At 43.3% G+C, this 12,701-nt stretch overlaps 1 long non-coding RNA gene across 1 annotated transcript in view, besides 1 other annotated feature; it reads left to right on the forward strand.

Moving 5' to 3' along the window:
* Positions 1 to 577: 577 nt before the first annotated feature.
* MIR4713HG (MIR4713 host gene) overlaps positions 578 to 12,701 on the forward strand; it is a 256,425-nt gene continuing 244,301 nt past the window's right edge. Inside the window, exon 1 of the long non-coding RNA NR_146310.1 lies at positions 578 to 771. This is a non-coding gene — a long non-coding RNA (MIR4713 host gene). The remainder of the gene's footprint in view (positions 772 to 12,701) is intronic.
* Positions 7,093 to 7,624: an enhancer, noted in NCBI's record as "NANOG hESC enhancer chr15:51336200-51336731 (GRCh37/hg19 assembly coordinates)". NCBI's record gives its function as "activates a minimal SCP1, AML or CMV promoter by ChIP-STARR-seq in naive H9 embryonic stem cells {active_cell/tissue: H9 hESC(naive)}" and the evidence as "EXISTENCE:reporter gene assay evidence [ECO:0000049][PMID:30033119]".

Raw genomic sequence — 12,701 nt, forward strand, 5'->3', positions numbered from 1 at the left:
GGGGGGTGCCTCCCAGTTAGGCTGCTCGGGGGTCAGGGGTCAGGGACCCACTCGAGGAGGCAGTCTGCCCGTTCTCCGATCTCCAGCTGCGTGCTGGGAGAACCACTGCTCTCTTCAAAGCTGTCAGACAGGGACATTTAAGTCTGCAGAGGTTACTGCTGTCTTTTTGTTTGTCTGTGCCCTGCCCCCAGAGGTGGAGCCTACAGAGGCAGGCAGGCCTCCTTGAGCTGTGGTGGGCTCCACCCAGTTCGAGCTTCCCGGCTGCTTTGTTTACCTAATCAAGCCTGGGCAATGGCGGGCGCCCCTCCCCCAGCCTCGCTGCCGCCTTGCAGTTTGATCTCAGACTGCTGTGCTAGCAATCAGCGAGACTCCGTGGGCGTAGGACCCTCCGAGCCAGGTGTGGGATATAATCTCGTGGTGCGCCGTTTTTTAAGCCCGTCGGAAAAGCGCAGTATTCGGGTGGGGTGACCTGATTTTCCAGGTGCCCTCAGTCACCCCTTTCTTTGACTCGGAAAGGGAACTCCCTGACCCCTTGCGCTTCCCAAGTGAGGCAATGCCTCGCCCTGCTTCGGCTCGCACACGGTGTGCGCACCCACTGACCTGCGCCCACTGTCTGGCACTCCCTAGTGAGATGAACTGGGTACCTCAGATGGAAATGCAGAAATCACCCGTCTTCTGCGTCGCTCACGCTGGGAGCTGTAGACCGGAGCTGTTCCTATTCGGCCATCTTGGCTCCTCCTGCTTCTTTCCTTGATATGATGTTCAAACCAGGTACTGTGACTACTCACCTGATTTTAGGTTCTTATGAAGGTGCTTTCTTGGGTGGATCGTTGTTCAATTTGGTGTTCTTGCAGGGGGGATGATTGCTGGAGGGTTCTTTTCAGCCATATTGCTCCGCCTCCTTGCCTGAATTTCTGTTTCTTTTTAATGATTTCTATCTCTTTGGTAAATTTCCCATTTATTTCCTGAATTGTTTTTCTGATTTGTTTGTATTGTTTTTCTGTGTTCTGTTGTATCTTACTGAACTTCTTCAGCATCAATATTTTCACTTTTTTTCTGTGATCTCATAAATTTCTTTTTGCTTGGAATATGTTATTGGAGAATTACTGTTTTTCCTGGAGGTGTCGTATTTCTTTGCTTTTCATGTTTCTGTGTCCTTACACTGATATCTGTGCATCTGGTGTAACAGTCACTTCTTCCAGTATTTTGTATTTGCTTTTATAGGAGAGGACTTATTCCTGAAGATGTATCTATGGTGTTGATTGGGTAGGGCACTTGTGCTTTGATTCTGGGTGCGTGCAGTAGTGTAGTCTCTGTATTATTTCTTTGGCTATAAACAGCAACAGTGATGTCTGTGATTTCCTCACTCGTTTTAGGGTGCAGTTGTTAGTGGAGTCTGTGGTGAAATTTTGCTGAGGACAAGAGCACCATGTAGTCCTGTCCTTGGGCCCCAGTGGTGGCAGCAGCAGGCAGAATGTGCCTGTCCTTAGGCCCCAGGGCAGCGTATGCTGGCACTGGCGTTAGCAGGTCCAGGCTGGCCGATTCTTGGGCCTCCAGGCAGCTTACTCAGCTGCTGGTTGTGGCAATAGTGGACAAGTTCTTCAGGTCCTTGTGGAGTGAGTGTGGTGTGGGCAATGGCAGTAGTAGTGCTGAGACAACCTTCTGACTCCCAAGCAGTCCTTGCTGGAGTTGGTGGTGGCTGTGATGGGCTGGGTAGGCTGGTCACCAGGCCCATAGGTGGCACATGCTGGTGGATTCCTGCTATGGTGGTAGTGGCAGGCTGAGTGAGCCTGACCTCAGGACCCTAGGAGGCTCAAGTGCCAAAACTGGTAGACTAGTCTGAGTGGTCCCCAGGCCCCTGGATGGTATGTTTAGGCATTGGTGGGTGGCAGAGCTGGGATGGGTGGACCTATCCTCAGGCCCCCTCGTGGTGCATGCAGGGACTAACTATAATAGGCAGAAATAGGGTGATTCCCAGGTCCTAAGTGAATGTTCAGGCGGGGGTGTCAGCAGCCCTGCTACTAGGGAGGGTGGGGTTGCTTTCAAGGACAACAGCTGTATGCAGGCAGCTAAGGAGCATACACTTTGCTTGTGCTTCACACACCCCACCCCCCCACCCCCACCCGCCCCGCTGTGGTGGCAGCCTGCAGTGGTAGTGACTGTGGGCAGAGGAGTTTGTCCTCAGGGTTCATGAAAATTCATGATGGCTTTGCTGCTGGGAGCAGTGGGGATGTTGCCAATGGTTTAAGCTTCAGCCTTGGCAGCAGCAGCCAGCTATGGTGGTGGCTGTTCTTGGTGATGTTAATGGGGATCCAGGGATGTGGAGATGCAGGTGCTGTTGGGCCCCCAGGCAGGATGCAAGCTGGTGGGGCTAGGCTCTCAATATAACACCATGATGTGTCTGCTTAGGACTTCGGAATTGTTCGGGACCCAACATAAGCTCCCTCTCTGGAGCAATACTGTTGCGTGGTCTCCAGGCAGCTTCCTATGTTAGTCTCAGGGCGGCCCACAAGGGTCAATGGGCTCCCCTGTGGCTAGGATTGCAGGAGTCTGCTGTGAGAATGTGGACTGCTGGGGATCTCTCACCCTTTCCCCACTTTGGGGAGCCTCTCCAGGCTCCCAGCTGATCCTGGTTAAGAAGGCTGCCTTGCTTCCTTCTTCTTCCTTGCTTTAAATGTTTCCTGTCATTTCTCTGTTGAATTCCAGTGTTCTCTTTTAGATGATCTATTCAAAGTGTGATTATCTATTACTATTTTGGTTCTTCTTTGTGGAGGAGGTGAGTGCTGGGTGCCTCTAGCCAGTCCTCTTGAAGCCCTTACTCACCTATATTTTCTCGTTAGAGTTTTTATTTTTTTAACTCTTACATTTAAGTAGTTGATCCATTTTGTGTTAAAGTCTGCATATAGCACGAATTAGGGGCCCTGATGCATTCTTTTGCATGTGGATAGCTAGTTGTCCCAGCACGATTTGTTGAAAAGACTATTCTTTCCCCACTGAATGGTCTTGGCAAAGATAAATTGACCATAAATATATGGATTCATTATCTAGACCAGGGGTCCCCAACCCCTGGGCTGTGGACTGATACCGGTCCGGTCCGTGGCCTGTTAGGAACCAGGCCGCACAGCAGGAGGTGGGCAGCTGTGAACGAGCATTACAGCCTGAGCCTGTCAGATCAGCTGCAGCATTAAATTCTCATAGGAGTGTGAACCCTATTGTGAACTGCATGTGCAAGGGATCTAGGATGCGCGCTCCTTACGAGAATCTAACTAATGCCTGATGATCTGAGGTGAAATAGTTTCATCCTGAAACCATCCCCTCAACTGTCCATGGAAAAATTGTCTTCCACAAATCTGGTCTGTGGTGCCAAAAGGGTTGGAGACCACTGATCTAGACTCTTGATTCTGTTCCGTTGATCTATATGTCTGTCCACATTATCTTGGTTATTGTATCTTTGTTGTAACTTTTGAAATTGGGAAGTGTGAATCCTCCAACTTTTTTCTTCTTTTTCAAGATGACTTTGGCCATTCTGTGTCCATTGCAATTTCGTACAGATTTTAGGATAGGCTCATTCACTTCTGATAAGAAAGGCAGTTGGAATTTTGATAAGGATTCAACTGAATCTGTAGATCACTGTGGGGAATATTGCCATTTTAACAGTATTGTCTTCTAATCCATGAGCACAGGATGTCTGCATTTACATAGGTTTTCTTTAATTTCTGTCTATGATGTTTTGTAGTTAACCTTAGCTTCTTTGGTTAAATTTATTCCTAGGTATTTTATTCTTTTGGGTGGTAATGTAACAATTAAGAAATTGTTTTCTTAATTTCATTTTTGGACTACTCATTGCTAGTAGATAGAAATTCAACTGATTTTTATTTATTCATCTTGTATCCTGGAACTTTGCTGAAATAATTAGCTGTAGTAGTATTTTTGTAGATTCTTTAGAGTTCTCTATATGTGAGATCATGCCTTCTGCAAATAGAGGTAGTTTTATTTCTTTCTTTCCAATCTGGATGCCTTTTTTCTTTTTCTTGCCTAATTGCCCTGACTAGAACCTGTAATACAATGTTGAATAGAAGTAGTTAAAAATGAACATAGCAAGTCTATCACCAGTAGGTATATGTTAACTATGGAAAGTTTCCTTCTATTAGTTTGTTGAGTATGTTTACCATGAAATAGTATTGGGTCTTGTGAAATCCTTCTTATGTATCTATTGATAACCACACTTTGATAAAAGCTTCAAAAATTAAAGTTTTTGGCACTCTGAGGACGCCCTGATTAAAAACTTCCAGCTGATTTTCAACCAAGTACAACCAAAATTTAGAGATCTTATTTATGTAAAAGTTCAATGCCACTTAGGATACTTTAGTTGATTTCAAAACTAATTTTCCAACGGCTCAGACATTTTGGAAATCTAATTGATGATGGATAGTAAAGAGAAAAAGTATGAACTGTCATACTGAAGCATTGAAAAAAATACAACATCATCTTTATCAGAAAATTTTGTACTGTGTATATATAAAATATATGTAAACTTTGGTAAGTACAGATGCTGCTTCAATCGGTAGAATATCCTGGTTTATGATATTGAGTTATAAATTATGTATGCACCACAATCCACTCAAAATACATTTTTGCTCAATCTAGTAAGAATATAAGTTTTATCACAATGCTATATTCTACCAAATTTGTATTTATATTATCATTGCAAAAATAAATAATTCTATCCTTGATGCCAAATTTTTAATTGAATTTACAATAATATTTACAACAAATGTTTCACTTTTGGCAAAATAAACATTTTAAGACTTAATTAGATGAAAAAAATTGAGGCATTATGGGAATTAACTCATTTTATATTTGAGTCATCTAGTGATGCTGGTATTAAGCTAGGCATCATTCAACTGTTTGCAGTATACTTCTGCTATTAATTTACCTTTTGTCCATGCATGAGAAAACTTGGAATCAAAAATGAGCAAAATTCATTTAAGGGGAGAATCATTTGATCTAAGTGATAGGTAAACACACCTTCTCCAGCTGCATATGGTGTCTTTGGGTGCAGTCTTCTTAAGATAATTGCTAATTTCTGAAGGAGATGCTGATGCTGCTTCTAATTCTCATGTGATCATACTATCACAGAGGTAGATGGTAAATATAAACATTCTGTGCAAGTTGCGTATCCATCAACTTTCTCATGAAATGGAAATTTGATTATTTAATTTTCATTAAATTTTTATTTTTTGAGCTCAGTGCTGCTGAAAGGATTTACTACAAAATATAAAATTGTTGCCAAACAGTGAGATAAATAGTTATAGATTCACATCATGTAATAAATGAGAAAACCAAAATATCAAGAGCATTTGGGAAACTTTCTTTTCATTTTCATCTTTGGTTTACCCTTGTATTTCATGTACACCAACTCCAACAACTTTTCACTGACTCTTCCAATTAGTGGTCTGAATGCTTTGTGCATTGAAAAGGCTGTGGCAATGGCCATGACATAACAGGCGGGCAAGAGTGACACATACTTTCACCACAACCACCCAAGCCCAGTAGTTAACTGGTCCTAGTCACTGGCATAGGAGTGCACTTAGTTTTATCAGTGAACACTCTGCAAACCAATTTTGAAAGGGATATGTTAATTACGTTGTATCATAAAAAGTTGGAAAAGAGATATGAGTGTAGATGGCCATCTTTCAATGTGTTAAAATGAGAAATCTGTTCACTGCACATGAGTCTCACACACCATTACCTGAAACTATGGTGGAAGGTGGAAGTGCAAAGTGGAAGTCTACCAAACCTATCCCAGCTCATTTTAATACAATTGTTGATAATACTTCATTATAAGATGAAAATTCCAGGACATATGCTAAACAAGATAGGATGCCAGGAAAACAGATGTATATTGGGATTGTCTTTGGCAAATCAGGATATATGGTCTCCCTACCTCTAATGGCCTGTGGGGAGCCCACTGGAGTAAGAGAGGACATGGGCAAGGGTTGATCATATTTATTCCTCTCCTTCATGTTTATTCAAAGACCTGAAAAGGATCAAACATTTCTTTGATGCCTACTGGGAATCTAGACTTGTTTCCATGGAATACAGTGACTTTTTTTAATCTTTTAAGTAATCTATAGAGAAATCTTTACCCCTAAACTGAGAGTCCTGAAAAGGGAGGTTACACGTAAATGGAGGTGGTAACATGCCTACAATCTACAATTTTTTATTCAAACTGGACCTCCTGAGCTCCTGAAAATAAGTTTCTCCTCTCTATCCCTCCTGTTCTAAGGGTTGGTAGCAACCCCCTGCTATTGCTAATCTTTGGGGTGCATCACTGTACCCTGTTAGACTTCTCAACTCTTTCCATCAACTCAGTAATCAATTCCCTGTATTAAATTCTATGTTCAAAATTTTGGGAGTGATATATATATTTTTAATTTTACCTTAAGTTGTGGGATACATGTGCAGAATGTTCAGGTTTGTTACATAGGTATACATGTGCCACGGTGGTTTGCTGCACCTATCAACCCATCATCTAGGTTTTAAGCCCCACATGCATTAGGTATTTGTCCTAATGCTCTCCCTCCCTTTGCCCCCCACCCCCCTGGAGTGCCATTTTCTTGATTGAACCTTGGTTGATTCAGATCTCCTTCTCTATTTCCTTTTTGTCATAATTCTTAGGTGCTTAATGTTGCCCACTTCACCCTATTATAGTGTGAAGTGGGCAACATATACAGCTGTGCCAAGGGGTTAGGGCATGATAATGGATTACTGCATGTCCTTCTCAGTATTCAAACACTGCACAGAAATGTATGGCCACATAATGCTCTACCTAAAAGAAGTCCCAATGTTAGACTTTCAGGCTTTTCCTGGGAATTCCTAAAACTTCACCAAGCATATAGTCATTACATAAAGTTGGTCTTTTCTGCTGGGAGACTTCCATTTTCTCAAAATGACCAAAATTTTGGAAGCTGAGAATGAAACAAGATGGGCTCAGAGAAACAATAGACTGAAAACAGAAGAAGTGTTTTTGGCATTTGTTTATCTGAAGTGGACTTCCAAGCAAGGCCTGCTGATTAACAGAATAGCTAAGTCTTATTCTTTAGGGGTATACATGTAGGATGGAGGAGGAATTTGGGTTTCATGGCTGGGGAGAGGGCAGGGATGGGCAAGTGGAGAAATGACAGGGCAAGCAGTTTGTGTTTGAGCTCCAAAGCAATCAGGCTGTAGGGACAACTAGAACAAAGATAGAGGCAGAGAAAGGAGAGGGGCAGGAAAAAAGCAGGAGCAAGTACCAGGCTTTATGAATCCTCAACTGCCTCCAGGCTACAACCTGAGAACAATGGAAACCACTCTTCACCTAGGAAGTGATAATGACCACACTCCAGGATCATCCTCCTCTTAAACAGCCATCCAGAATTTTTCTAGAGGAAGGAGTAATGTCAAACAGAGTGACCCACAGTGGGAAATTCTTCCAACGCTCTAAAAGCAGTCATTACCCAAAATAGGCACCCAACGTGTTCATTTATGACTTGCCATAAATACTAGCATTAGCAAGACAATATTATCCTCGTATGAGTTGACTTTATTGTGCTTCAGAAAGTTACAACATCATAAATATCTATGAACGTGTTATTTCATCTGCTCTCATAATTTGTCTCTTCCAACATGGTTCTGGCCAATTTTAGAAGTTTCCATGTAAATATATAAAAATAATGATAGGAAAAAATGAGGACAGAACAAAAAGAGGTCAAGTATCACATTTAGTCCACAAATATTATGACAGAATATGAAATTGTTTTATGGGTGGTTAAAGCAAACTTTTTATTTTTTTTTTTGTGGTGGTGGTGGTGAAGCTATGTGTATTATCACCAGTCTAAAAAGAAAGGATGCCTAAATAGGGAATGGAGCAGGCATCTTTAGAACCTCTTTTAATCTCTAGTTAATGATGTTGTAAACCAAAAATAAAATTCTAAGGCCCCCCACCCCCCAACCCCAACCAACCATCTGAATGGACTTCCTCCTCAGCCAGGGCTCTTAAAGTGTAACCTGAAAGACTGGTTCAGGCCATGAAGGGAAGTGGGGGTCAGACATGCCTCATTATACATCTCTGGCATTAACATCAATACAGATTTTAAGTCTGATAGAAACATTTTACAACCTATTCTCTCTGAAGCCTGCAAGTTAAAGCTTCATCTGCATAGTAAAACTTTGGTCTCTACCACCAAACTTTCCTTTCTGTTGATCCCAGGTCTTTGGACAAACTCAACCAATTGTCAACAGGAAATGTTTAAATTTACCTATAGCCGGCCAGGCAGGGTGGCTGACGCCTGTAACACCAGCACTTCAGAAGGCTGAGGCGGGCGGATCGCCTGAGGTCAGGAGTTCGAGACCAGCCTGGCCAACATGGTGAAACCCCGTCTCTACTAAAAATACAAAAATTAGCCGGGTGTGGTGGTGGGTGCCTGTAATCCCAGCTACTCAGAAGGCTGAGGCAGGAGAATTGCTCGAACCCGGGAGGTGGAGGTTTCAGTGAGCCAAGATCCCGCCACTGCACTCCAGCCTGGGCAACAAGAGTGAAACTGTGTCTCAAAAAAAAAAAAAAAACAACAACAAAAAAAACGCCCCCCACCACCCCTGACCCCACCACTTCTAGTTGTCCCGCCTTTCTGGACCAAATCAATGTATTTCATAAATGTATTTGATTGATGTCTCATGCCTTCCTAAAATGTATAAAACCAAGATGCACCCCGACCACCTTGGGCACATGTTCTCAGGACCTCCTGAGGGCTGTGTCACGGGCCATGATCACTCATATTTGGCTCAGGATAAGTCTTTTCAAATATTGTACAGAGTTTGACTCTTTTGTTGACAATGTCCACTTTTATAAAAGATTTGGTGGTGGTCTAAAATACTAGGCCCAGAAAATTTATGTACACATAAATGTATCCTGGCACTTTAAGAGTAACAAACAAACAAACAAACAAACAAAAAAACATTATTTTACAACATGTAATACCCTGTGACACCTCTGGAAGTGTGCCATAAAAGAAAATTAATTTTGAAACAGAGTTGGTTCCCATCTATTGTCACTAAAAGTTATTTAGGTGAAAATGAACAGTTTGGATTCTAGGAAGGTGTTAATTAAGGGAATGGGTTAACAATTATTGTTCACTTGAGTTTTCTAAAACATATGCCTTGGGTTTGAGCTGTGATTCTCTCTTCCGTCCTTGAGTCTGGAACCCTCTCCTGCTCCCAGGTTACTTTTCCAGCAATGTGCAACTCTCGAGAGAACTTTCCCAATGCCTTTGATTTCCACATGTGTTGCAAGTTGGGGATCACACAGAATTCAGGTTGAGAAGGTTCAAGTCTATATTTTCAGGAGACACACCAGGAAGAGTTCAGTGGCTGTCTGAATGTCCATCCATGTTGTTTAGGTAAATTGGTGATGGGGTAGATTAAAAGGGGACCTGTTTAGTGGTTTCCTGGCAATTGCTCTGATTTCCTCCAGACTTCCTCTTGACAGCCGAAAGTAGACTCAATAAAATTATATCCAGGAAGGTATGGAAGTGGAGGTGGTGAGGCTATTGATTTGGCGAACACATGGGATGAAGGGGAAGGCCTAGGTCTGAAAAACCTGGTTCTCCCTCCTGAGACCTCTATTTATAAAGATAAGGGATAAGACTTTGGAGACAGGTATGTGCCATATAATCTGCTTTGGAGATTAAGCAGCAACAAATAGGGAATGAAAATGTACCATTCAGTAATGTATTATTTACTCTAAAAGAAACAACTATGCCTTATACTGCACCAGTTCCTTAAACAACTTATTTTATTTTTTTAAATGATGGCAGCTCCAGGACCACACTGGATAACAAATATCAGTGACCAATACCTTTTTAAATGCCTCCTGCTGGAGAGTTTTTTCTCTCTTGTCTCCATTTCAGGGGAAACTCAGCAACCTCTGGGCCCTTTTACAATGCACAATTAGGGGCTTATAAAGAAAGAACTGCTGCAAGAGGTGTAGGTACTCATGCTAGATATTCAGGGAGGCTTGAAGGCTGAAGGTGAGATACAGTGAGCTTACGGAACATGGTGGAACTCAAAGAAGGGTTTCTGAGATAAACACCCTTATTCAAATGCCAGAGACACACTGTTTCTCTAAACAGAAACTCTTAAGGCCCGGCAGTTTTTATGTTGGAGCAAAAGATTTGGGTCAGAACCAAAGTTTTAAAGACTTTTTATTGAAGAAGTTCAAAGATTCCTTGGCCAGCAGCCAAGTGTGGTCTGATTTGTTTGCATTTCCTCTGGGAACTCACACACAAGTGAGGAATTGGCCAGCCACCACTGTGAGGGTCACCCACACCCCTGTGGGCCTTTTCTCCCTGAGCAGTTCCAAGGTGGGGGAGGGAAGCCAGGGGGAATCAGATCCCTACAAAGGCCGAGAGTTCAGCAGCCTGGCCAAGCTGCAGTTCTTTCCTGGGTGAAGAAGTATCTCTCCCAATAGCTGCAGTATCTCTTCCAATACACCAAGATGGTATTGATTAGTCCACAAATGAGACCCCTATGACTCAGGAGGTAAGTGAGAGGCATCAAGGGGAGAGGTGGGAAGTGAAATATCACCTCTTCTTCCCTCCTCCCAGTGATGGTAGAAGGACTTGCTCCAGGCTGGGAGGCATCAAGCATGTGTGCTAATGGGCCAGTTCTGCACATTCAAGATCCCGGAGATGTTAAGTTTATCCAAAAATCTTTCAAGCAATCCTGTCGTTTGCAATTAACTCAGAGGGAGTTTTGAGAAATTTGTCAACTGGATTTAATTTTAAAAAGGGAAAATATATCTTTTACTATGGTTTTGGAAGTTTGAAAAGGAGTTGCTTGTGTAACCACACACGTGTGCACACACAAACAGCATGAAGGTCTCTCCTCTCCTTGGGATTTTGATCACAGAGGTAGAAAATTAGGCAAAGTGTAAAAGGATATGTGATTGTCAAAAGGTGAGGAGTTAGAGGGACTGAAAGAAATGGGTCCCTGGTTCTCCTGGACTGATGGGTCCCAGCATGTGACTGATGCCCATCACTGAGCAGATTTCATGACCTCTTCTTCGGTGAGCTGAAAATCCAAGAGAGAGTGGAGCAGGGAAGCTGGAGGTCACACATATATAACCGCGACAGGGGAAAGGGCTGAGTAGGCAGGAGCTCCAAGAGTGAAGGTGTCTGTTATTGTGTTGAGCAGTAGGAGGGAAACACTTTCAATTCCTGTCCCTCCCAACTAAATGATAAGGGAAGGAGCCTCCATCCATATAGAAGGAAGAGAAGTGCCCTGCTGAGTTCTGGGCATTTGAGTTTGTGGGATGACCAGGGTGTGGCCTGATACCTGAGCTAGCAGCTGGTTGATCTCTCCAGAAGTGAGCTGCCTGTTGTCAGATTAGAGGCATGAGATCAGGGCCAGCCCTCACTTTTGCAGGGTCTTACTCAACCCCTGACAGGAATGGCCTTGTATGCCAGCACCTGTAGTCCTGCCCTGTGCAAGGGGCCTGCAGTTTAGGGAGGCTTGGGAGCAACAACTCCCACACAGGGCTGGGCTCCCCACATTGGTTTTTTTTTTTTTTTGTTCATTGGCTGTAAGTTCCTTTTCTGAGATGAAGCCTTCTTCCCTTTTTTCAAAGAGAGCTTGGTAAGGGAAAGCTAAAGGGATTGGTAGCCCTGTTCAACTTGCAACCACATGGAACCACATGTACATGTTCCTGGAGGCCTCTCCCCTCTGTCCCTGTGTGTCCCTGGTTTCTCTTCTGTCTCCCATCTGGGAGTCTCATGGCTGGCTGATCTGATCCTGGGTTCAACTTTTATAGATGTTGTTTCTCCATTGGCTAAAAGAAAGGTATGTCGCCTGGGGTGCTCTTTCTGCCCCCTTTTGCCTCCAGGTTCCAGGAGTAATCCTGCTCTACACTGGGGTTTCCAGATCATCCTACATTACTGGAAAGGAGGCCTTGGAAAGAAAAGGGCCAAAGAGAGGCCTGGCAGAGGATGATATTTACCTCAAGGGGTAGGGACTCTCTCTGTTTATTCTTTATATATGGGTCAAATATAGTTCTGGAAATAATATCTCCAGATCAGCATCCCAGGTCATTGACCTTAGAAGAAAATTTTTAAACAGTTACTAAAGGTAATTAATTGAGAGGTGAGAAATGGAAAAAATGCAGCAATTGCCAGGACATTAGGGGCCAACTGGTGCCACTTTTCTCATGGTTCCCATGGCTCTTCGCATTGGAAATAACTGCCTAAAGATAGCTGTCCTTCAGGCACTTGCAGCTAGTGAGAATAGGGCTTGCTGACAGCCCCAGGATGATGACAGCATGTGAAGAATAGTGGGGTGAGCACACGCCCAGAGGTTGCTTCCTGAACACAAAGGAAGAAGAGGAGATGGACTCAGTTTCAAAGCTGAAAAGGGTGGGAAGTAAAAACAATTCAGGCAGGAGTTACAATTCTGAAAGCCACAGAATTTGAGATGCAAATGATTTCAAGTGGAGCTCTCTATACTGGGTCAGCAAACTTTACTGTGTCTAAAAATCACCAAGGAGCTTTTTAACTATTCGGGGTCCCAAGCCCCACCTCCAGAAATTTGGAGCTGGTAGATTTGGGGTAGGACCCAGGATTCTGCATTTTTAATAGGGCCATTCCCCATCCCTGGGACCTCTGATGCAG

The sequence above is a fragment of the Homo sapiens genome, chromosome 15 (assembly GCF_000001405.40).
Source record: "Homo sapiens chromosome 15, GRCh38.p14 Primary Assembly".
Classification (NCBI taxonomy): Eukaryota; Metazoa; Chordata; class Mammalia; order Primates; family Hominidae; genus Homo; species Homo sapiens.